Here is a 26,490-nt window from a genome sequence, read left to right on the forward strand (position 1 = left end):
GACTGTGAATACAGTCATTTCTCTGCATCCTTCCTCAGCCATACCAAAACCCCCTGCTGCTCTGCCACAGTAAACTCTCTCATAACAAGCCTGGTACACTTGTTGGCAAATGATAGGTTCAATTCTTATTTGTGAGAAGAAAATGCAATGCATGTTGACAGCCATATTTTCAACAGTTTAGCTCAAGTTAGATAAAACTGCAGACTCTGAGAAAGAAAGATCTGGGGAAAGGCATCACTGATTCCTTTGGGGGACGGAATCTGGAACCAAAAAGAAAGAGGTCCTGGAACCCAAAAAGGAACAAGCAAACAAAACATTGGCAAGGCAAATGCAAGCTTTCTCCTCGTAATACTGAGTGAATAAATACTCATAATACCTCTCAACAGTATAGAGAAAAATAGCTAGTCCAACGGAGGGGAGTGATCCTCCAAGAACTGAAGAGCTCATGGGCTCATTTGTATTTTCAGCTTCAAGTTTGAGGGAACGCTCAGGAAAGATGTTTCCGAAACTTCAGCTCAACCTCCACCCAATTAGAAAGATGGCTCTCTTGGTGTGTTTTTAATCCTATAGTATTTGTTTTAGAATGGGGTGGTCCTTAGAGCAAGGATAGTGACAGAGAAACTTTATTTCTTTATTATTTGTATTACAAATAATATTACAACGTATTTACAACACAGCTTCTACCAACTTTCACTGAAGAGACAGTTTTTGAGGGTGTGTGGACAACTGTGAAGAAAGACAGGAAACTCCCAGGGAACTGGTTGCAGGAGTACAGGACGGGAGAGGGAAGCTTCTAGTGCTTATGCCATCCTCACCTCAGCCCACCCTGTTGCTGACCACTGGCAAGGTTAGCTGAACCTGGCCAGGGAGGTAACAAACAGGAAACCAGAGTGAACTTGGGGAAGCGGGGAGGTGTGATCAGGAAACAGGGATATCACCATACTGTGGAAACCCACACTGGCCTGCATGCTTGGGCAACCCTCTCTCCATGGGTCACACAGACACAGACACAGGACCTGCCCTCAGGGATTAGAGTCCAGAGGGGAAGATAGATGTCTTCTGTCTTGCAAAGGCAACTGTGCCATGCAGTAAGCAGCGTGGCTTGGTCAGTTGGCAAGAAGCACATGCGCAGAGTCTCAGCAAAGCAGTTGTCAACAACAGAAGAGCAAGACAGAAAGATTCTTGGAACGATTTTACGCTGGATATTTCTTCAAAACATGTAAAATAGCAAACATTCTGAATTTTGTTGAGCTTCCTTACAGTATATGGTTGAGGACATAGACCCTGGAACAGAATGCCTATATTTGAAGCTAAGTTCTGTCACTTACTAGCTCGGTGATCTGGGACAAGTTACTTTACCATTCTGGGCCTCAGTTTTCTCATCCGCAAAATGGGGATAGCAGGTTATGCAATTATTGTGAGAATTAAATGAGTTTTAACATCTGTAAAGTGAGTGCCAGAGCCTGATCCATAACAAGCAGTGTTAGTGATAATTACAATGACACATATAGTTTACTATTTTCTTTTATTTTAGATTACATACAGAGAAGAGAATATCTTATTTTTTTAATTTTATTTTATTTCCAGCAACACCTCATTCTGTGCCATAGGATGGGTATGCCCCGAAGACATTGTAATTTATGATTTATTGTCTCTAAAAATCTTAACATGGCCCGATGATAAACACTGAGGCAGAGGTATGCCCAAGGCAATGTAGTAAAGATGCCCCTAGAAGGCACTCATCCTTCAGGCCTCAGGAGGGTGCTCAAGGAGAGTTTCCTGTAGGAACACTCTAAGCTGAGTCCTGAAAGGGCTGCCCAGGTGAGAGGAAGAGGAGAAGTTTGTGTAGAAGCCAGAGGCAAGAATGGGAGGAACACAAACCTGCTAAGAATGTAGACAGCAGAGCTGGAGAGTAGGGCCACAGAGACACAGCTGCCCAAACCTAGGTGAGAGGCTGTGGCTTAAAACCAAATAGCAGAATGTGGAGGGAGAAGCACATCCAGCTTTTGGGGAGGGTCCCCCTAATCAAGGGCATTGACAGGACTTGGTAATTGAGTAGTTATGAAGGTGAGGTGGAATTTTACTTCTTCTGGTCTGTTGGCTTAGACAACTGTAAAGATGTTGACACCATTTGCTGAAGCAGGAAACACAGGAAGAGGAGATGAGATGGGGGCAGGAAGAGTGAGGGAGGTGGGAGAACACCAGGAAGGAGTTAAGGTCATGGCTTTCATTTGGAACCATTTATCTCTGATATTTGTGTAAAACAGAGCTAAGTGTGAATGCTAGTAGAGAATTGGATACACAGTGAAAATAATTAAAAATACAATACCCATCCCTTACATTATATAGAATTCTTCTTCTATAGAATGAATCACTTCCCATGGTTTTTATAATTCCTGTGAGATGAGAACAAGTATGACAACAACACATATTGAACACTTACTACGCTGGGTATTTTATATGTATTTACTCTCACAATGCTTACATGAACCCTGAGCAGTACATTCTGTTAATAACCCATTTCACAGTTAAGGACACTGAGGCTTAAACCCAAAGATTACAAAACTCGACCAATGACACACAGCCGGTATGCAGCAAATCCACATGGTATGTTTTCCCTTTTGACACCTACAGAAACTAGAGATTAAATAGGACAAGGGTCAAGCATGAGGTTACATAACCAGGAAGTTGTGAAACCAACTCTAGCACCCAAATCTGCTACTTCAAGAGTCCAGTGTTCTTTGCCCCACCTCATGAATTCAGGCTGTAGGAGTATATAATTTGCACAGGGCAAGAGTAAGAAGATTGATGGAGTAGGACCAACCAGTAGCCATGTTCAAACAAGGCAAAAACTGCTTCTTTCCTTGTGCAGGCTCATGAGAGTAAGGTACTTCATCTCTATCTGCTGCTGCTACCGTGATGCTGATGCTGATGCTGACATGGAGGCTGGGTGCCACTGAGGGTGGAGCTCTATCAATCCCGGCTCATTCTGCAATTAAGACAAAAGACCTCTGTGGTCCTAGAGTTCTTGAGGACAAGCTTGGGATGGAGCATTATCTTTTGTTTCCAGATTACTCAAGAGAGGAGAACTTGGGCTGGAGTTGTGTTTTTGTTCATTTATTCAATAAGCATTACAATAACTGAGCAGTTACTGAAGTGCCAGGCCATGTGGTATGCACACAGTACACGGTGATGAACAAAACAGACATAATCCTGCTCCTGTAGAGCTCACGGTTCCAAATGCCCCAGCTGTTCATGCCCAGCACTGGCTGAATGGTGAGTGGGGAATGGGTCTTAATATCCAAAAGCTGGCCTTGAAAAGCTGGCTTCTGTGGTTTTAATTGGGTCCCACTGATGGAGGGGACACTAGTCTGGCTGTTAGGGGACACTGGTTAGGCCTGGGTATTGGTTAGGCCTAGTGACTGGCTAGGAGACCCTGGGAAACTCATCCAGCTTCTCTGGCCTTGATGTAAAATGGGTGGTAGGGAGGACAAAAAGACTGGATCATGATTGTCAAACTCCTTTGAAGCTACATTATTTCTTCTGTGTTCAGTTCACAGATAGTTACCTAGAGCCAACTTTGTGCAATTAACATGAATAAAGTGAACATGGCCCAGGCCTCACTGAGCTTGAGGTCTGGTGGAAATCTTGTGCCAGACTCCACCATATGAAACACATAAAAGTGAAGCTAATCCTGGAACTCCAGAAAACAGTTTAAATAAATAAGTAAGTAGGTAAATAAATAAATAAAAAGACTAGCTAATCCCTCAGGTTCCTTCCTACTCTAAGCTTCTTGAGTTTTTTCTCCAAGTCTGGGGCAACACAGCAGGAGAAATGCAACTTCTGCACACCTATCTTCAGTTGTACATCAACTGAATCTGTCTGAAATTTTGTCCCAGCCGCAAGCACTCAAGCTTTTCCAGGTACTGCTGTTTTGCTCCATTGGTTTATTTTGAGGAATCCAGCCATTTGGGTGAGGCTCTCAAAGTGTCTCCTTCAAACCAGGCAAAGAAGAGAAGACCATATTTTCTTCTGGAGGCAGAAGGATTTTCATGCATTACTCCCCAAGCACAGAGAGAGCCCTGGAGAGGCTACAGTGGATGTTAGCAAAAGCAAGAAAAAGAGGCACAGTTGAGAGCTGTTGCTCATTCCCTGAGAATTCTCTTTTTTTTTTTTCTTTTTTGAGAATGGCAATGAAAGCCCAGCTCCCCTATTCCCTTGCTAGTTTTGTAAAACAAACAGGAGCAAATAATTTTCATTCATTGACTTTGTTCTTCCCTTCCAAAGAAATCTCTGCATCCTCTAAGGAAGGCCCAGTTGAGGCTTACTGCACACTGTCTGTCCACTTGGTGAGAAGGGATTTGACTTTGAATTTTTTTCTTTCTCACACCATTCTGTGCCAATGTGCGCCTGACCATTTCCAGATGAAATGCTGCCTTTACCAGAACGAGATGTTTGCGAAAAGGTCTTTAATGAACTGAAAACGTTAATTTGAAAAGTCTCCTCTGTGGAAAGAGTGAGGCTTGGAGAAGGAAATGACACACGGGCTGTGGACTGGCAGACGGCTGGTTTCTCTCAAGTTTTTCAGAGGGGAGATGGAGAATGGCTACACGAGGGTGGGACCCAAAATGGATCCTCACTCGGAGGGCAGGACCAAAATGGCAACTCTGAGCTTCGTTCACATGCTCAGTTTTATTTGGTATTTTAAATGTCTACAGGCACAGGATTCCCCCTAGTGAAAAACAACACACAGTCCCCCAAGCCTCTTAAGAGCCCCTTTCCCACCACCAGAAATTCCAGCAAATGCCCCACTGGAATTATTTCAAAGGTAACCTCAATAAGAGTGATGTTCATATAAACAGCCATAACCACCACTAACACCACCACCTTTTTTTTTAACCAAGGTGTTATTCTGCTCCCTGCCCCCACCATCGGTGCCACCCATATTGCACACACGAGGAGAAAACATGAAAGGGACAGGCTCTGCTAAGAATGCTGATTATAAGCCATTGAGCAGATATAATTACAGGAATTGCTCTCCCTAGCTGAGCTGATATTTATTTCAGCAGTTCTGACCCTTCATGGGGATCTCACTGCTGCCCCATCCCCCAGCCCCACCTTCCTCCCTCCACTCCCACCCTCTAACTGAAAGCAAACCCAAGCCAAGTCCTGCTCATACTCTCGGCCAGTTGCCAGGAAAAGTGTAAATTTTCGTGAGCTCAGGCTGCTTTGCCAGAAGTCTGCAATGTGTCTGGACATGAACGGTTGTTCCCTTTTGTGAGGCCAGGCCTGAGCACCAGGAAGTTCTAGAAGCAGCACATGGAGAGAGATGGAGTGAACCAAAAAAGGGGCAAAAACAGCCTGTCTGCAGTAGACAAGGCTTGCCCAGGTGTCCCGTCTGAGCCCAGAGCCAATCTCCTTATTGCCCTTAAAAAAAGGTTGTCTTAAGACTCAGTATTCCAATTGTGTGCTGTTAACTTTGTTCCCAAGGGTAATTCCCTACTAGGACTTCACCCTTCATAATGAAAATTAAACAAGTTAAGTCTGAGTGTGAGTGTGCGTGTGTGTGTGTGTTTTAAAAAAAAGAGAGAGAGGTAATCTTTAAGCACAGGCACAGCTAACTAGATGTAACCCTTCCTGGTCCTATAGGCTTGGCAGAGAAGAAAATAAAAAGACATTCTGAGACAATTTGAAAGAAAAGATTTTTAAAATGCAAAACAGCAAAGATCACCAAACAAGGATGGGACAATATTAACCCATCTTCCAAGCTGGATCATTCTTGCTGTGCCAGGATGGGTGAGCTTCATACATTCAGAAACTGCCAAGACCCCGAAGGTAAGTGAGGGTGCTGTCCAGCCCCATTCAAGTTTTCTCTGTGTTGATGCTTTGCATCCACACAATGTTATACTTGGGTGAATTTCACTGCATGGTCAAAGCCTGTGGTCTGTCTCTAAATTCTCTAGTTTTCATTTTATTTCTATTGAAAGGGGCAGTAAACTTTAATGTGGAGTATGCAATTATTTGGAGGCCAGGTGTGACTTCTTAACAAGGTTAAAAACCCCTGAACAAAAGCAAAGCCAGAGAGAAGGGTACGTTTCTAAGTGATTAAAAAGCAGTGTTACTCCCTTCACACCCAGCCTGCCCCCATCTTGCCCTGACAGAGCAAGGGAAGGGTACAAATCAAAGATCCAAACTTTACTCACCAGATGAATATATGAAAGAAAGTACACTTGCTGCTAAGTTTGCACTGAACTGGCAAGGGCTGGGATGGGGCAAGGAAGAGCTTGCGTGAATACAAGGTGGGATGAACAAGCCATAAGATAACACAGGCTTGCCTCAAGCTGCTCAATAGACATATATCATAAAAAATAAAATAGAAATCATTTTAACAAATGGATTCAGTGTCAGTGTACCAGCTGTTATTCCTAGAGGGAAACCTTTTGCCATTTGAAACATTAAAAAACAGCTGCTATTTATCATTCAGGCCAACTTGGGTTGCCAGGAATGACAGAATAAAGGACACAAAAATCAACAAATTTTCTAAATTTTTTAAAAATATGGAATTCCAGCTAGAAATGCAGTTGCAAGGTACATGGACTAAAACAAACTAAAAGAGGGAAAGAGAAGGAAGAAGAGAGAAGGAAGAGGAGAGGGACGAACAATACCCCCTTGGGTTCAACCAACCCAATTCAATGAATTAAGGTGCCCATGCTGTATCTTAAAAGGGACAGAAATTAGCAGATAATGCGGAGGGAGAGGAGCTGCCACTGGAGAACCAAGGAAAGAGAGGGTTTGCTGCACCAAGACAAGGAGGAGAAAGGAAGTGAGATGAGGAAAACTGCAGGTTAGGAGTAATAGGAAAAGTCAGAGACTCCAGCCAAGTGCTTAAAATTGTTCTAGGGTGGGCAGGAGCAGTGTATGTGAAGAATAGTAAAGGTGGATTAGTGATACACAATCCTCTGTTATTCTCTAGCAAAGAAGATTCCAGAATAAATGGTGCCCCTGCTATTTAGGAATTTCATAGGCCATACGCAATTATTAGAGCCTCAGTGCCCTTTTCTTCTTCTTCTTCTTCTTCTTCTTCTTCTTCTTCTTCTTGTGTGTGTTTTTTTTTTTTTTTTTTTTTTTTTTTGAGATGGAGTTTCACTCTTGTCACCCAGGCTGGAGTGCAGTGGCGTGATCTCAGCTCACTGCAACCTCTGCCTCCTGGATTCAAGCAATTCTCCTGCCTCAGCCTCCCGCGTAGCTGGGATTACAGGCACCTGCCACCAAGACCAGCTAATTTTAGTATTTTTAGTAGAGATGGAGTTTCGCCATGTCGGCCAGGCTGGTCTCAAACCCCTGATGGCAGGTGATCCGCCTGCTTCAGCCTCCTGAAGTGCTGGGATTACAGGCATGAGCCACTGTACCCGGCCCCTTTTCTAATGGATAAGGGTCAAATCCATTTCTAGCCTCAAAACATACCCAAGTCCTCTCAACCTTCTGGGAGAGTAATTCCATAGATAGAAGGTGGAAAAGACAGAAAGGTTTTCAAAGAGATGCAAGAATTGACAGCAGAATAGGAAAACTTTCAAGTCATTAATTACTAATGAAATAGAGTTAATTACAGATTTGTGGAGTTTTAAAAATTTGTTTTATTTTTCTGTGTTTTGCCTAATTTGTTTAAAAAGGATGTTCAGGGTTTCTTTCTTAGTTTATTTTAAGAAACCTGCCTGAATGATTCTGTTATTCTTGGTTACTTGTTCAGTCCACGGGTATCATCAGGGCCCAGGAGGCCTCTCAGGTGTGCAAAGCCCAGCCCTACTCGATGGAAGATTATGGTCTGCCTGCACACAGAGCCTCACAGGTGGGGAAGATCAGGCCACAAGAATAGCCAGCATCATTTCAAAAGGGCCAGACATTGTGCCAAGAACTTTCCTTAACTCATCTCCAAGAATCCTACAAAAACTCATGGAGGTAGACAAGAATCTGCCCATTTACAAAGAAGAAACTGAGGCCCCAGGAGGAAAGTGTCTGAGTGTGCATTATGCCTGGGAGACTCGAAGGAGGTGGAGGGCGGCTGGACTCCTCTTGCCTGCTCTCTAAAGGGCTCGGTGAGGCTCTGGTCAGTCACACAGGCAACCCTCAAAATAAAACCGAGCTTTAAAAGGCACATAAAAGAAACTTGTTTTTCTATCTTTAGGTCATTCTGTGCCTCCATCTGCAGGGATGGAACTTGGTTTCATTAAACATGATATTTCTGTCGCTCTCTTATGTTTTTATTGTTTTGTTTTCTCTTGCTTTCAATTAAAGGATTTTTTCCCCTCCCAGAAATTCTTTGGGAATTTGAAACCCACTTCAAGGAAGGAAAAAAAAAAAAGGAAATCCATCTTACAGTATTAGTCACCAAGATGGGTGTGAAGACAACGGGCTATAAACCAAACTCGGCTCCATCTCCAAGACCAAAGAACAGTCTCTAACAAACTGCTTTGAATTTTAAGAATTAGCAATAATGCTGGCAAACCGGTTTCCTTTTCTTAAAAAATGAAATAATAATAATTTGTTTAAAACCTCCAAATTGACTCCTAATGTTACCACCAAATAAAGAACATGGGCTGAGACTTCAAGCAAAAGCCAGGATGTTCAAAAGCCAGAGAAAAACACTTAGCTATGAAAAAATAAAAATATGAGTTGGAAATAAAATCCCAGGGAAGCAAATTTGGTGTGCACTAGAGGTCTTGCATTCTACCAGCAAAAGCAGGCAGTGGTGGGAGGCAGCAGGGGCGGGAGGGTTGGGGAGTCAGGAGTGGGAGCAGGTTGTGTGGAATCTGGTGGAGTGTTTCACACTTTGAAATCAAAGAAATGGGCATGTGTAAGTGCCTGCTCTTCCTATATGACTGTCCCTCTTTGTGGCAGAGTTGTGATTAAATAATCTCCCTCTTATCATGGCCTTTGATCTCATAATCCCCTTTTCCCACACTATTAAGATACCCCATGTGTCAGCAATTCAACTTTGCGTGCTGGAACTTTATTTTTTATTTTTTTTTTTTTGCCCACACCTGCCCACACATCAGTGTCTCTGCTTTGCTTTATGCTTTGTCCATCTTGCAATGTTTTCATTAGGTGGGAGCCGTGGCGAAGGCCAGCTGCCACCCCCACATGGGGAACTCAAGCCAGCATCCCTCCTCCATGGGGCTGGAGAGGGATCACAGAAGCAAGAGGCTCCCAAGGGCTCCAGGCCTCCCTGAGAGGGAAAGTGCTGACCCAAGGGAAGGGGAAGTTCACTTGCTTAGCAGTTCTCAGGAACAGACTTTGTGTGTGTTTCACTCCTGAGCAAATGCTACTGATAGCAGCTTACTGGGGAGTTTGGCCCAAGAAGACACCGCCTACTTGTCTTTTGTGTTTAGCAACCATTTCCACTGGGTTTGCACCACTGCCCCTTTCAATCCCACCTTCTGAGTCCCATCTAAGACATCTGAACTGGCAGTCTACAATGCAAGGCCCTGGCCTGGAAATCACCTGGCAATTTCCCACCAGCCGCCTAAGGAGAAAAGAGCAGGATTCTGGAATCCAGGTTCAAATCAGCCTCACCAGGATTCTTCACAACCTTGAGCCTCAGTTTCCTCCTCTCTAAAATGAAGACTCAGTGTCTTCCTCACATGTCTTTTGTGCTAGGCTTGAATGAGAGAATAACGATACCTTTCTTAGCAAGCACTATGTGTTGAGCCTGTATGTGCATTATCTCATGAAGTTCTCACAGCACAGCCTGGCACACAATGCGTGATAGACACACAAGAAAATTATGGTTGCAAGGGAAAAAAAAAAAGAAGAAGAAGAAGCCTGGGCTCAGTGGCTCACACCTATAATCCCAGCACTTTGGGAGGCCAAGGCGGGTGGATCACTTGAGGTGAGGAGTTTGAGACCAGCCTGGCCAACATGTTGAAACCCCATCTCTACTAAAAATACAAAAATCACTCGGGCGTGGTGGCAGGCACCTGTAATCTCAGCTACTCTGGAGGCTGAGGCAAGAGAATCACTTGAACCCTGGAGGCAGAGGTTGCAGTGAGCTAAGATCACGCCATTGCACTATAGCCTGGGCAATAAGAGCAAGACTCCAACTCAAAAGAAAAGAAATCTTCCCCAAAGACACCAAGTTAATAAGCTGCAGAGCTTGAAGTACTAACCACTTCTATGTTAGCAGTGTTTGTGCTTTAACCACAATTCTAGTCTTCTGCCTGGAGATAATATTGCCAGATTTAACAACAATAACAACAACAACAACAAAAAATACCGGATGCCCAACTACGTTTGAGATTCAGATAAACAACAAAATTTTTTGGTCTAGGTATGAACCATGCAATATTTAAAAATTATTTGTTGTTTATCTGAAATGCAAATGTAGTTGAGTGTCCTGTACTTTATCTTGCAACTCTACCTGGAGATCAACTTTACAAATGCAGTTTGAAAACAGTGAAGTGCTCACTTATATGAGGAATCTAAAATAGTCTTACTAGGGGCTGGGAGGAGGGGGAACTGGAGAAGTGTTGATCAAAAGATACATGGTTTCAGTTATGCAAGATGAGTAAATCCTAGAGAGCTACTGTACGACACAGTGCATATAGTTAACAATACTATATTATACACTTAAACATTTGTTAAGAGGGTAGATCTTATGTTAAATATCCTTATTGTAGAAAAAAGGAGAGAGGAAACTTTTAGAGGCAGTGGTTAAGTTTATGGCATTGTTTGTGGTGGTGGTTTCGGGGGTATATACTTATCTTCAAGCTCATCAAGGCATTGAGTCAGCCCTCCATATCCACGGGTTCCACATCCTCAGATTCATCCAACCACCTGCCAAAAATTTTTGGGAAAAAAAGCAATAAAAAATAACAATACAGCAATTTTAAAATACAAATTTAAAAATATGCTATATTTATATCTATTTACATAGCATTTACATTGTAATAGGTATTATATGTAATCTAGAGATGATTTAAAGTATGCAGGAGGATGTGAATAGGTGATATGCAAATACCACATTGTTTTATATAGGGGACTTGGGCATCCCCAGATTTTGGTCTCTGTAGTGGTCCTGGAACCAATCCCCCAAGGATACCGAGGGATAACTGTGTACATTAAATATTTATAGCTTTTTTGTATGTTAGTCATACCTTAATTTAAAAACTATTTTAAAAGAAAGTAAGAAAATAAAAATGGTGGGCCAGGTGCAGTGGCTCATGCCTGTAATCCCAGCACTTTGGGAGGCTGAGGCCAGTGGATCACCTGAGGTCAGGAGTTCAAGACCAGCCCGACCAACATGATGAAACCCCATCCCTATTAAAAATACAAAAATTACCCAGGCGTGGTAGCCCTTGCCTGTAATCCCAGCTACTCAGGAGGCTGAGACAGGAGAATCGCTTAAACCCAGGAAGCAGAGGTTGCAGTGAGCCAAGATCACACCATTGCACTCCAGCCTGGGCAACAAGAGTGAAACTCCATCTCAAAAAAAAAAAAAAGAAAAAGAAAAGAAAAGAAAAGAAAATGAAAATGAAAATGGTGGAGTGCTACACAAAGTAAAGCTCTTTTGTTTTTAGTCATAACCCCAGTTCTAATTGGTAATGGGCAGGAGTTCCCAGCCCCAGTAGCTTTCATGGCCCATGTGGAGATCAGATAAGCTCTAAGCATATGAAACACTTGGATAAAGTTAATCAGGGTAACAAGCTAACCAAGTTAATCAGGGTAATAAGCTTAACCACCCACAAGTCCTCTCCCCACCACCACGAACACCTCCCTTCCCAATGGCTGGGAGATTTTTTTCTGGGACCTCTTCTCCTTCCCTCACCACTTAAATAGCTAAACAACAAAGTTTCACCGGCTACATTTCTGGCTACTGCATGCCAGTTTAGTAAGAGATCCTGAGGAATTTTAATGTGCAGATATGGGGCCTACCCTCAAGGCTTCACTTTGTCATTGAAGAGACAGTGTACAATTAAGTGTCGAAGCACAATGAGACAGCTCCATTTTACCAACACCTCATTCTCATCAGGCACTACCCTAGGTGATCTTGTAGAATGCTCCCAGCACCTGGTCCAGGAATCACCCACAGCCAGCCGCCATCGAGGCAGCTGGAAACCTCCAGAGAGCTCCCATCCTACTGCTGTCAGAGATGCCAGGCGAGGCCCTGATTTCTTATCTGATGGATAATTAATGTTACCAATTTGAGTATATTAGGATAAGAGGCCCTACCCTTTCCCATCTCACTTCCTCATAGAAATCTCCTACGACTGATCAAGATGGTCATGCCTCAGTTCAAACTGGACAGGGTCTTAGAATGTGACCTCTCTTGGGACACACCCTATCCCCAGAATAAGAACAGAAAATGGCTCTATTATTCCTCATTTGTGGACAGAGAGGAGAAAACAGTGTCCGAGTTTCCTTTCCCTAATGCAGGTTTGAGCTTCTACCAGCAGGGTCAGCCTCCACCTCCCAGACCACTTGCACCTAGACTTTCACTTCCACCTGGCTAGCAGCTGCCCTGCCCTACAGACTCATGCTCTGCCTTTTTCTTGTTATAGATGCCTAATCTTTTCTCATTTTTCTCCACAATTCCAGTTGATAACTGTAATCAACCTTCTCTCACTGTAGAAGAGGTCTGAGGTAATGTAATCCCCTGCTTTCATAAGCAGTGGAAGGACAGGATTCAAGGAGAGTTTTCCAACATCTAAGAAAAACAGAGCAGAATATAGCAAGGACAAAGGAGCCACGCTATTTCCAATTTCCCACGTGGCTTCTTCCAACTCAGCCTCTGGGAACACTGGGAGCATTATGCCTACACACTTAACTGTATTAGGACAGCCAGCCTTTCTAAGAATGGTTTCTGCTCATGCAATTCCAAGAAGTTTCTCTCCCTTTTCCTGTTTCTCAACCTGGCCTCAATTCATCTCTTACTTAGGGAGTGCAAAGGAACCCTTTGCAAGATGAGCTGAACCAAGGGACCAGAAAGATGCCCACCTCAGGTGCTGCTTGTATTGGGTAAGGCTTTGGAACCATCTCACTTATGGTCCAGATTTGACATCTTGGATAACTGAATCCAAGAAACACGTAAACAAGATCTGACTGGACCTGCATGTCTTTGTCTATCATCCTTTCTTCATTTTCTGGAATGTGTCATTCATTACCTCCATGCTAAGAATTATATCTACTTTTAGTCTCAAAGTCTTCTGTGTTTCTTAAGGGATGCTCGATATAACCTTTTTTTTTTTTTTTTTAGCTTGCTATTTCAAGGCTTCATTCTACACCACTAACTTGTGGTTAAAAGAACTGTTTTTGTGGTTGTTTCTGTATTATCTGTTTGGGTTTTTTTGTTTGTTTGTTTTTTGTTTGTTTCTTGTTTTTTGTTGCTATCATTAAAGGAATTCTAGCATCCTAACTTTGATTCCAATATCTGATATGTGACCTCATTCTTATCTTTCTGCCTCTAATATTTCCTTTTCCTCACCTAGAATACTCCATGTTGCCTCGGGTCTCTCTGAAATTCCTACCTTTGCTCACATTACTTCCCAAATCCCCCATTACTGTTCCCTTAGTTGTGAGTTCCCAAATAAAAAGGTCAGTAAGATTGTTTCCCTCAAAATGAGATACACTCAACCCATTCCTTTTCACAATTTTCATGGTGAAACTCAACTTCAAACTCAACTTAAAAATCAAACTGTTTTGGGAATTTTTCTTTCAGTCGTCAGCCCATGCCAATCACGTCTGTGCTCTTTACAAATGGATGGCTAGCCTCGCCTCACAGTAACTTCCCTTTCAAATCCTGCTCCCAAAAACATTTTCTCCCTGTCAGCTTGCCACTGACTCTCTGCAAATCATCCTGTGATCTCATGTAGAAAGGACATGATACACAAATAAATTTTAGTATCCTATGCTTGGGGGTTATAACTGAAAATAGCTTGGTAGTCAGGAAAAAAATGATGTGTGCATAGCACAAATATATATTTCTATGTGTGTATACATATATATGATGCTACATATATATGATGCACATGTCAATCATCTTAAATCCAATATGACAATTTGCAAAATAAAACACAACTTCTCCTCAAACGTCCAGGATCTTTAAGTTGAAACAAGTGCTTCATGGATGATAAAGCTATTTAAAACCTGAATTATCCTTCATCTATCTGTAGACAACAACATCCTGTTTAGTACCCAACCTCAATAATCATCACTTATGATATTATTACCAGGGCTGCCGCTTATGGAAGGTAACTACATGCCAGCACTCTGCCAAGCAGTGCAAGCATCTGAACTCTTCATTCTCACAAAAACCCCATACGGTAAATATGCCTTATCCCCATTTCATAGATGAGGAAACCAAGGCTTAAAGAGGTCGGTAACTTGCCGAAGTTCTCATAATCTGATAAGTGATAGAGCAAGGATTAGAACTCAAGCTCACCCCACTCTGAAGCCACCGTAAGTCATTGCTGCAGTTCTGAAAGGTTCCTTGGAGGGCTTCATGTTAAACCTGTGCAGGGGTCAGGAATCTGTGGTCTTCCCACCAGACTGTTCACCCAGAGACTAATCAGTCAGCCTTTCTTTGGTAAGTCAAACTTTGCTCCCCATCTTTTGTGAAGTATAAAGATGATTCATTGCTTACACGGAAATTGATCTAACCACTGTTTTATGAAAAATGCAGGAGTTCCATATCTTTAGAAGGACTTCTTGAAGAAATTTGAATTAGGGAACAAAGTAGTTAAATTTTTCTGTCTTTTCTGGTCTTTTTAGCTACTGATTAATGCACAGTCGTGGATGTTGGAAAGACTTAAGGAAATCAATAATAATATTAACCCTTATGAAAAGGTTTGCTATGAGATGGGATTGTAGCTCAAGGTCTTTAATGGTAAATAGTCAAAAGTTAGAGTTCATGGGTGCCAGCTCCGTTGGCAGGTGTGAACCTTCTTGCTACTATGACCTTCAACATTTCCTTAGGACCTGACACTCTCTTGGTCCAAAAGAGATAGTGATCCCTTCCTGTAACAATACCTAGACCCAGAAGAGAGAAAAAACAGTAGGGTTGGCTTCTACAGCCAGGCAACAATATTGAAAGTGAATGGTGCCCTCCCCCAACACCCTCCCAGCCAGGCAGATCATCCACCCCCCAGCTTTGTCCTCTTAAGAAGAATGCCCCTTGTCTCTCAGGCCACAGTTGGTCATGAGGATTAACCCCTCCCACCCTTTCACCCCCTCCCCAGCATGGCCCCCCTTTCCAACTGTCCTTTGGGCAGACATGACTGACAAGAGTACCACAGGCGATGATGTCACAAAGAGAGGAGGCAGTGTGCCCTGTTAGACCATCTTTCACTCCAGTGGACTCGCCTTCACAGACAAATTGATTTGCAAAGGTTCAGGCTGCCAGCCCAGCCTGCTTTGCATACAGAATGCTCCCTGGTGACACAATAAAAAGTGGCCAGGCTAACAGAGGAGCGCAGCGGGGTCTGGCCGGTTCAAAGTCCAAACTCCACACCCCCTCACCTCAGTCTGGTTTGAAAGGTCACTGTGTGTCTGGGAAAATAGTCACAGGATACAATCCTTTATTAAAGGTCACTATTTTTCACCAGCACTTAACACACACTTACACACAAATTGAGACTGGAGATGGAAAAAAAAAACTGGGGGCTGCATCGCATTGTATATTGTGCTTGCAAGATTTATGTCTTGTGGTCACCAGCAATAAACACACACTGCTTCGGTATTAAAGTTCACATTAATCCACTGATTCCCCCTCCCCTTGAAACCAGCCTCTTCTTTGCCAGGCAAACCTGGGCAAATGGAGACTTTTGTTCATCTCTTTTGTTCCTTTCCCATCTTTCCCTTCCCTTGTTGCAAGTTGTTTTTGTATTGCTTTGTTTTTTTAATTATTTTTGGTGTTGGTGTTGTTGACATGCTGCCAGGAACTTTACTCCTAGTTCCCTCTCTTGCCCAGTGAATGATGTGTACCCAGCATTTGGGTCCAAGGCCATGTGCTGTCACCATGCCCGAGATGCAGTGTCCATGGATCTGTATGAGTCTCAGACCTTGAAAAGCAAAAGTCAAGTTCTTTTATGAGCTGCTGGTGAAAATCCAGGGGAGCACCTTGGTTAAGCCAGTAACTATAAAGCCACCAACGAGAGTACCAGTCCTGCCTATCCATTATGGCATATATTTTATTTTAGTAAATGCTTCCAATACACCCAAAAATAGCAATTGTATTTTCCTCCAGTAACAGACAGTTCACATTGGGTTACCAAAGAACGTTAACAATAACAATCCCTGCATTCATAACAAAAGAGATTATCAAAGATGTCAGCCCGAGCTGTTAGATTAATTTAGGCAAGAATTGCAAAAGAAAATATTTAGGGGAAATTCTATGAATTTCAAATAGCCAGTAAAATGTATGATGTTGAGGATTCCACTCTGCTCCATAGCACATCTTTGCAAAGCTTTTGCCAGTGATAGATTTCTGAGCTATCAAAAGCACATTAATTTTTTCTGATTAAAACAGCTGTGAAAATATACAAGTGTAACTGTGAAAAATCCAGGGCTTATTGTAATACTTTAAGCAAAACAAGGATAAAAGATTTTTAAATACGGACTTGCCAAAAGTAAAATATCTAACACGAAGGGAGCTAATTCTGCGTGTGCTTCTGATATTTTGGCATAAATACTTTAATCCTCTTGTCCATCCCGTTGGCACCTCGTCTACAGTTGACTTGTTAAGGGCGAGTTCCTTTGTAATGTCGTCAGCACCTCTCCATAGTTATTGACTGTGCTCTCATTAAAACGGCAAGATCACAAAACAGCAGAAGTGAGAAGAGGTGGGGAGGCAGCCGGCTCCTCACTACAAAGGTATTCAAAAAGGCACGAGAACCTAAAGGAGAAATGAAAAAACATGGCAGAAGTGAAACTGTCTGACAAGGAGGAGGAGAAGGAGGAGGAGGACCTTTCTGGAGGTGGGGCCAGGGTTTAGAAATTCTGTTTTTGTGTTTTTGTTTATTAGAAAAATACACAGGGCGTCACCAAAGCCAAGTTCAAGTTGCTTGTAGTCTTCGTGCAGAGTTATGCCATGCTTGGCACGTGAATGTAGCACACACACACAGACACACACGCCTTGTCTTCTTCTCATTGCTTAAAAATAAATCCTTTTTGGAGGAAGATGTCGACTTCTCTTGCTAGCATCCCTGCTTTGGGTTTAGCTAGTGATGATTTCACTGTGGGCCCAGACTCCTCATTCCTCATCTATTGCCTTGAAAGGAGCGACCTTATGAATAAAGTCACTGTGTGATTCAAAAGCATGGTTGGGGTGGGCATGCTTATTCAAAACAAGCTGCCTTTTGAGGGGAAGCATCCAAAATGTAACCCCCTAACTCTGAAGACAGCGTAAAGATGAAGAAAAGAAGAGAAGAGAAAAAAGAAAAGAAGCTCTCCCTCCCCGCCCTGCTGCAGGCTGGACACACAGGATGGGGCTGCGTGCTGCGTGAGCCCTCTGCCGGCTCCCATTCAGATGGGCGTTCTGAGATTGGAGGCTTCGGGTCTGACAGTGAAGTTGCCAAGTGCTACCCATTCCCAACATAGAGCCCAGACCCAGCATTCTCCTGCCTCCGAAACAACGACTCTCCTGCATGCAAATGCCACTGCTCCTCCAATCTGTTAACAGAGAAATCTGCAGTCCCACTGTAAACATAAGTGTCTGGGATTCCAACCCTCCAGCTCCCAAAATGTGCAAAGGCAATGCACTAATGCACAAAACGTCTGGGGCTCAGCCGAGGCGTTACATCAGTCTCTACAAAAGGATACTTTCAGGACAGCCAAGGATGAAGAGCTGGATTCTGAGGGAGTCTGAGAATTGCTGAGCCAAAAAGATCCCTCTCTTTCCTCCCCTCTGTCAAACTTTTCGTGCTCTTGCCCCTCTCTTCCTCTCAACTTCCACCCCCACCCTCCTTCAGCCAGGTGATTAATTCCTGGCCCCTACAAGTCTCTAAAGGGATCCACCCTCCCTGCAGTGACACCCAGTGCTAAGGGCAGAGAGGAACAACCAGAAGCTCATCTGTTGTCACATGTGGCCAAAAGCCCCCTCAGGCAGGCTGAATGTGCCCTGGTCCTTAGACACCTGGGCACTCTGCTGTGCCCTGAATAGGATGCTCCGTGGTATAACCCAGCCGGGACCACAAGCCTGGCCACCATCTGGGGGTTCATGATGCCCTGCATCCCAGAAGGGTCCCCAAGATCCTTTGCAAAATACAGTTTTGCTCTGAAGGCCAGTCCTCTCACTCTGTAGCCTCCTGTCCAGGACCACACCACTCACATCTCTGTATTCTAAACCTGCTCTCCCTGCAGCATCCCAGGAAACCTGTGGGCAGGTACCCACGGGAACTGCCCATTCTACAGCCTGTGGAGGACCACCACCTCTCTCTTACTGTAAGAAATACTTAGATTTTTCCATGCACTGCAAGCCCTTGTAATCGTCCTTCCAGGTGGGTAAAATCTAGCTAACAAAAACACCTCTCAGGACACAGTGCATCATCAGGCTGAAAACCAGTGTCACTTTTCTTTGAGGTTCATGGTTTGGGACATTTTAGTTTTTCCTGTTTTTGCAGACTCCAAAGAGAAATATTTCAGATATTTTCTTACTCTTTTACTATTAAAGTCTGTAAGTATTATATGTGAGTGTGTATGTGTATTTGTGCAAATTGCACTAGCGGAAAATACTGATCCAGTCATGATGTAGTCACAGGGGAGGCCTCAGTCACTCACAGACTTTGAAGACAGGCGGCCTCGTATCAGTGCATCCAGACTAATAGCTCCATGAGGACAGGGATTTTTGTCTGTCTTATATCCTGCTTAGCTGCAGCATCTAGAATAGTGCTGGCTCCACAGTCCACACTCAAAATACATTTATTGAGAGATGTTACATGTCAGAATGCAAGTATATGACTCAGTAGTTTCTACCATCTCTTTTTTTTTCCACTGATTCAAAGAAAAATCACCTGGATAGGAGATCAACAAGATCCCTTCTGCTTATTGAACCTTTCTTTTGTGGTCCTCCAAGGGGAAGATGAGGCAAGCATGTGCGTGTCTGTGAATAGGCACACGCATGGGGTGTTGGTAGCTATATGTGGGTTTTTTCCCTTTGCTATGTCTCATCCAATCCCATCTCTTCTTAGCTGCCTGGGTCATGCACCTGAGCTTTGTTATAATAGTAATTACAATGGTTTTGACAGCCTTATGAATGTAGTTCAGAAAGCAGCTGTCACAGGAATTAGCAAGTTTTGCAAACAGCTCAGCTCTGAGGTGGTAGGAGCCCAGGCCAGGACAGGAGGAGTTAACCGAGATGAGTGGGGTGTTATGCAAAGCACCAAATCCCTAAACTCCTGCGAAGATCTTTGATGGCCGTGATCAATAGATTCTCAGACCACACTGACATAACCTTGTCATGCCTCAGCAAGGGTACAGTGGCTAAAAAGGCATGGGGAAGTGGAGAGGTGGGAGGAGAGGGGGAGAGTGAGAGGACAGGGAGGGGATAAAGATATCATGCCCTCCCCTTGCTGGCTCCCCCAGCACCCCCCCTTTCCATACCCACCCCCTCTTCAACAGGCATCACACAGCAAGTGACTGGTAATGGTTCTTTGGCCTTGTATAGCTTTTAAAATCCTTCAGCTGAAGCATCTCAGCTCCAATCGCCAGCAAAGCCTGAGCACCCTTGAGACCCTGGTGCAGATAATCATCATCCACTCAGTGACAAGAAGCTGAGCGCCGCTTCGGTACCAAGGAGACCGAATGTGGCAGGGCACCAAGGTGCCATCTTAGATGCATCCAGGCAGCAGCAGCACACAGGGAGGTGTATGTGTTTGCAAGTTGTTGGGTTTTTTTTCCTCCTTCTCCTTCTTCTTCTTCATCTTCTCCCTCTGTTCTCTCACCCTGCTCAGAGAATCCTCTTTCTTGAGAGGGATGCCGTTAACTCAGCTGCTCTTAGCATGCTTCCTTTTCCCTGTGCCTGCCGGGCCAAATTCAGCCCTGCAGTCAATACTGTTGGAAAAGAAAATGACATTAATTTGTGTAAAAGTGTAATCCAAAGGTGGGTGAGTGATTTTTCTTGCTTTCAGAGAGATGCAGGTTTGAGTTTATGATTACATAAACGAGAGCCAGCTGGTCAGCAGCTTCCTACCTTCCACCCAGCACTTCCCCAGTGCTCTTTCTGCCGAGTGACAGCATTACAGTTAATGGTGTTGCATTATGTATACAATCCACTGTGGATGGTACAGCTGGCTGGGATGGTCCTGCGGACCAGGGTGCTGATGGGTATTTACATGCCCACTGAAAGGTGGGAGAGAGAATGTCTAGAAATAGAAGAAAAGCCTTCCCTAATACACACAGAGCCCACACCCCCAGCTGCTCGGAACAGCGGGTACATGTCCAGGTCGTTTAGATTCCCCTTCTACCTCAGGCCTTGCGCTCACATTTTCCATGCACAGAGCTCCCTGGCAAACTGAAGATGTTCTAAACAAGGACTACTACAGCCCTTGCACATATTAAAAACAGCTCTCCAAACAGCCCAAAATATTTTAATTCCATTGTCAACTTTCCATCTCACACCTTAACAAGGGGCAGTCCTCAGAGAGGGACAGCTCTGAGCAATTGTCCTTTGCAGGCGTGACTTTGTTTAAGGCCAAGTCACCAGGCCTGAAGCCCCTGCCTAGAAGCAGATCGATTTTACTATTAAGCAGTCAGTCGTGCAAAGGAGACGCAGGCATGGAGGTTTGCGAAAGGAAAGACTGTTCTATTCCCGTCGCCGTGAGGACAGAGGTGGGCATTGCATATGCAGCTTTGGGATCCCCCGGGGGCGAATGAACATTAGGCACTGACCACCATGCTGAAAGAGGTCACCATAATGAAGCCGGGGGCCTGGGAGAGTGGGAAAGGAAACCATCTTTGCCATGTAAGAATGGAAAGTTTGCCAGAAACCGAAGCAGGGATTTTAGTATCCCAGAGAGTCTGACGAAACAAAGTTGCGTCTTTAAAAAGTTATTTAAGGGATTGGCCTTCTGTGGGGACGGAGGAGGTGGTAGCCTGTATGTGAAACCCTGGAGAGAGTAGGGGCAGTTTCAGTGTCTGTCTCTCTCCAGCTGCTCCCCCCACAGGGAAGAGCTGTCCTTATGTGCTGACCAAAACCTGAATTCACTTAGTTGACTCATTCATTCAATTAAGTTTATTGATCATCTGCCATATGCTGGGCACTGTCCTAGGTCCTGGGGTTACGACAGCAAACAAAACTAACAAAAATATCTATCCCCGTGGAACTTGCATTCATTCCTCCCATAAAGGACAAAGCCTTTTAGAACATAATGAGAGATGCAAACATTCTTGGGAAAGCTAAGATGTGAGTTACTAAGATCTGTGTTTTCTATGGAATTTTTAATAGGGCAGAGAGAAAGGAGCCCAGAACACCAGGTTGAGAGGGAAGATAGGAGCTGAGGAAGTGAGTGAGGGTGGGCCAGCCAGGGGATAGGGGAGGAGATAAAAAAGCTGAAGCCACTGAGGCAGGATTCACCTGACTTTGCAGTTTTGCTGAGGATTAGTGCTGGTCATGAGAAGGTAATTGTGCAAATAGCCATGGGATTAAAGGCCAAGATTCTGAGTTACCATTATATTTATGAGACAAGTGACTGGTGCACGTCTTCCTCCACTCAGCTATCAGTAAGCCTGGGTCCCAAAACCCAGTCAAGATGCAGAACTCCAGGGCTCTCAGACACTCAGACCAGCAGAGAAACTGTTCCTAATTGCTAGACACCTTCCTGCCCTGTGTTTCCTACAAATCTCTGAAATGCCTGGGACCCCAAGCATGTAGACCAGCACCCCCATTCACTGAGAAAGATCCAGGAATTTGTAAATAACAATTCTTTCCCTAAAATTCTGGTGTGCTGTTCAAACTCACTGAAAACCTAACCTTCATTCTCACCCACCACAACACCCAAGAAAGCCTCAGATTTCATGTCAACACGCCATGCTTTCCCCTTGTCTTCAGAATCATTTGGAGTCCTTGAGTCACAAAAAAAAAAAAAACCTGTCTGCACCTGAATCATCCTGCAGCTAGTGCCCGGTTGCAAAGCAGGAGAGTCCAGCAGCCTCCCTGCCATATGCAATTTCTAGCCCTCTCTTCTCCCAGCCCTGATTCCTTTACCTGAAAGACCACACTCTTTGCTGAGGCCCCTGCCTGCATCATAACATGACAGCTTTGGCTGGAGGTATCACCCATTTCCTTCTCTCACTAAAAAAAAATAACAATAAGGAAAATGGGAAATAAAAGTTTTCAAATTACTTCATAGGAATCAAATACCACCCCAAAAATAAATCAGTTTCTCTGCAATGCCGTGTGTGTGTGTGTGTGTGTGTGTGTGTGTGTGTGTGGGCACGTGCACGTGCAGCCATCCCAAAACTATTGGCCTGAAAACCTGGCTATCCCACAGATGCCCCTTTCGACATAGCTACATAAAAAGAGGTCAGGTCTCCGTCAGCAGACTGAGCTCGGTTTGTGTTCTGCCCAGGGTCACTAAAATAAAAGATCATCCAGACAGCTAAAAGAACCAAAGTTTCTCAGCGTGTACACCGCCTAGGGGTGCTGAAACGAGGTTGAAAATACAACCGGGAATGTGACTGCTGTGCAGGCTGTGAGATTGTGGCTGGCCCAGGATGCTGAATGCCTCGCTGATATATTGGGTGTGGGTCTGGTTATGTAGAGACTGTAGCCAAAGAGAAAGACCAGAATACCCAGAGAGAAGAAGAGACAAAAAGAAAGATCTGGAATGTGACCGACTGATTAAGAGACACAGAACAAGAGGAATGAAACAAAGAGGAGGGGAAGACAGAGAGTGCCCCCTTTCCCTCAATATCCCTAGGGATTAGAAATGAAACCAAAAGGAATAAATTGCCATCCTGCTTGGTGATATTGGAAACTTCTTTTTTCCCTTAAAGGGAGGAAAAGTGGATGATGCCTTCTCTTTATCCAATTTTTAAGTAGTTTTCAGGAAGCTAAAAAAAAATGCAGACAGGGAAAATACAACAGCAGCAACAGGAGGGAAAAAAAGAACCATGAATGAACTCTGAACTGACTGTGAAAGTTCATGTGGTAGATCGAATTATTGTGGTTTTAAGACTCTGATTTCTCCTTGCCAATATTTTTTCCTTCCTGCCCCAAAACTTGTTCCCTCAGACCCGCTTTATTGAACCTTAGACAATAGTGACCTCAGCATAGAGACATATATCCAGAGAGCCTCCGCCTGAGGCAGGAGATCAGGACGCAAAGGGCAAAGGTTTGGTCTTAAGAAAAATTTCTCATGGGGTTGGATCACACTGCCTGGTCAAAGATATTTTTCCCCAACAATGTTTTCTCTCTTAAGATGACTGATTTTCCCAGCCAAAGCTTTTGCTCCCGTTCGGTGGTGTTCGTCTCTTGTGAGTTTGGGTGTAGTTAGCTGCCTTCTGCCACTTCCCATCAAGGCCTTCACTTTTGTAAAGCTGTCACTTCTCCAGGTCTTGGCCTTGTGGTGTCAGCAAGATAGCCCCGGCCGGACTGCATCAGCTCCTGCCTCCCTGCACCCTCCCCACCTACCTTCCACCCCACCCTGTGCCTTCCTTAGGGGCTTCATCATCTCTCAAAACTGCTGGGTTATGTGTGGGCCAATGGGAAGGTATTTGTTAGTTGCAAATGTTCAAATTAACACTTATTCCTGTCTCTGAGTCTGCAGGGAAAATCAAGCCTGACTACTAATTACAGCTTTTGGGGGTGAAAATAAACAGGAATGTGGCAAGTCTAGGCCTTAGTGCAGAAGAAAATTATCTTTATTTGCTTAGAGCATTTTGACATTTGAGGCCCAAAATCTGGAGAGAGGAGCCTGAAGCAGAAAGGGACCTTATCTTGCCCCATTGAGGGGTGGAGGGGTAGAAAGCATGGTGTATTCAGGCCTTGCCACTACACTTAGGGTATCAGAGTTCCAGGGCAGCCTCACTCTTCTTTGCCAGACTTTTTATAGTGGCAAAGGTGAGGCAGAGGTGGGGAGGAAGTTGTCCCAGGAGCCAATGGAAGGTCAGTTGAAGATGCGTGAGCACCATCATCACTGCCCAACAAGCTGGTCCCTTTCTACTGAGCACAGTCAGCCTTCTGTGCCTGAAACAGACCTAGCCTTCCCACTACCACCTACAAAGAGTTTTCTGACTATTCCATCCCTAGAAATCTCTTGCCCTTCATTTTTTGAAGCAGTATCTTCTGCCACCCTTTTGCCAATGTGATTGCTTTGTAGAGTTGGCTAACTTTTATTTATACTTTTCAGCCCTGATGAGATTTTTTTCAATCTGGGAAATATTATCTTCAGTCTCGGGAAATTCTCAGCCCCTATACCCTCAAATATTTTGTCTGCATCTTCTTCTCTGTTTCCTTCTCTTGGGACCACTATTAAATTTATATTGGGGCATTTTGATCTGTCCTCCAGATCTCTTCACTTCTTTTGCATGTTTTTCATCCCTTTAGCTCCTTATGTCACATCTTGAAACATTTCTTCAGCTCAGTCTTCCGGTTTCCTAATTCATTTTTTGCTGTGTACAATAGGCTATTTATCCCACTGTATGTTTTTAAATGTACCTGCAAAGTCTTTCCTCTAGGAAGTGGAATCTAATTCTTCTCGAGTTAGGTCTAGTTTTGATGACGGATCTAATTAATAGAATATGGTGGAAGAGACAGTGTGTAAATTCCAAGACTTCATCATAAAAAACCTTATGCTTTCTTAATCCTTGCTGTCTCTACGATCACATACTCTAGAAGAAGCCGCTGCCATGTTGTATGACTACATCAAGCAGCACTATGGGAACTGAGGCCTTTGGCCAACAACTACATGAATGAACCATCCTAGAAGCAGGTTCTTCGGCCCCAGTCAAGACTTCAGATGACTGCAGAGTTTGGCTCATGTATTAACTATAACCTCATGAGAGATCCTGTACTAAAATCAACCAGCTAAACTATGCCTGAATGATGACACAAAGAAACTATGAAATAATAAGTGTTTACTGTTTTAAGCTACTAATTTTTAGCATGATTTGTTAACTAAAACACCCATGGACTAAATTATTTTATTCTAATAACTATTTCTTCATTTATGAAGTTTCTAATCTTTTCCTAACCACCTGTTCTTTTTTCACTGTGTTCTGTTCTTATTTCATCATATCTGTGTCCTCACTTATCTTTGAAAACATTTAGCTAATTTTTTGTTTTCTTTTTCTTTTTTTTTTAGATTGCTCTATTATCTCTTTTCCTTGGATGTTGGTTCCTCCATTTTCTGAATTTGTTACTCATCTTTCATGGTGTTGAACTTCCTGGGCATTTTGTAATTTTTGTTTGTGAACTTATCTTTTAGGAAAATTGACTGATACGTGTGTGTGTGTATATATCAACATATACTCAGTATATGTTGATGCCTAGTACATAGCAGGTACTGTTCTCAACACTGAAAACACAAAAATGACCAAGGCCCCACAGGGTTCACTGGCTAATGGAATGACAGACATGTAGACACATAACTGTAATAATATACAGTATGTATATTGTTTGTTTATATTACATATACATTCTAAAAACCCAAGGCAGTTTTAAGGAGGATTTGATACTAAGGCTCAGGCTTCTCACCTCAAAGTAATCTGCTCACTGGCCCTGGCCCTGAACACACAGGATGATGCCAAGATCTTGTCATGCTGGGTGGCATTCCTCAGACCCTTAGCCATAAGCCTAGGCACAAAAGCAAGGTGTTTCTGCTGCCCCCTCCCACCTTTAATGGGGAGTGTGTTTTCAGGCCTTAGCTCTACACAGGTTGTATAATTACAGCCCCAGGTTCTCCAGCTAATGGGATTCCAGTTGGAGTCCGTTGATTAGTCCACTTTGATTCCCACTCCCCACAAGCCTAACAGCTAAGGCCTCCAAATTCCAGTATGACCTTTGTGTTAAATTACTTTAGAGAAACCTCTCCATATCTGATAATGGAAATTTACTCTTGTTTAAGAATGGCTATGTGCTTGTAAAACTTTTCTCTTATCATTTGTGAGTATTCAAGGTAGAAAGGGGAGGCTGCAGCCTGTGGCCAATGTATTTGCCTTATACCAGAAGTCGTATTTGCTAACTTTCCACATTTATTTTTCCTCTCTCCCCAATCCCACCTTAAGCTTCTAAAAGTCAGGGACAAGCTCATGCTCCTTTTTCTTATTCTTCTTCTAACTGGAAGAGAATAATGCGTTAAACATGGAAGCTGCTCTAAATATTTTTGATTGACTGACAGTTAAGGGGATGACATGATGGGGCAATCTGGGAAGAAAAAGAAATAATATTTTATCAGGCCTTGTGACCCTTAGGTCTCAAGTTTGGAACCCTCTAAGTAGGTTGTTCTTAAGCTTTTCTGGATCATATACACTTTGAAAACCTAATTAGATCTCTGCAGAATA

At 43.6% G+C, this 26,490-nt stretch overlaps 4 annotated features.

The window, feature by feature from the left end:
• Window positions 10,029–10,098: an enhancer, noted in NCBI's record as "active region_15795". NCBI's record gives its function as "activates an Ori minimal core promoter by ATAC-STARR-seq in GM12878 lymphoblastoid cells {active_cell/tissue: GM12878}" and the evidence as "EXISTENCE:reporter gene assay evidence [ECO:0000049][PMID:35858748]".
• Window positions 14,969–15,018: an enhancer, noted in NCBI's record as "active region_15796". NCBI's record gives its function as "activates an Ori minimal core promoter by ATAC-STARR-seq in GM12878 lymphoblastoid cells {active_cell/tissue: GM12878}" and the evidence as "EXISTENCE:reporter gene assay evidence [ECO:0000049][PMID:35858748]".
• Window positions 16,879–16,938: an enhancer, noted in NCBI's record as "active region_15797". NCBI's record gives its function as "activates an Ori minimal core promoter by ATAC-STARR-seq in GM12878 lymphoblastoid cells {active_cell/tissue: GM12878}" and the evidence as "EXISTENCE:reporter gene assay evidence [ECO:0000049][PMID:35858748]".
• Window positions 21,052–21,303: a silencer, noted in NCBI's record as "fragment chr2:60549375-60549626 (GRCh37/hg19 assembly coordinates)". NCBI's record gives its function as "represses an EF-1alpha promoter that drives an FKBP-Casp9 reporter gene in an ReSE screen in phorbol 12-myristate 13-acetate-treated (for megakaryocytic differentiation) K562 erythroleukemia cells {active_cell/tissue: K562(+PMA)}" and the evidence as "EXISTENCE:reporter gene assay evidence [ECO:0000049][PMID:32094911]".

The sequence above is a fragment of the Homo sapiens genome, chromosome 2 (genome assembly GCF_000001405.40).
Source record: "Homo sapiens chromosome 2, GRCh38.p14 Primary Assembly".
NCBI lineage: Eukaryota > Metazoa > Chordata > Mammalia > Primates > Hominidae > Homo > Homo sapiens.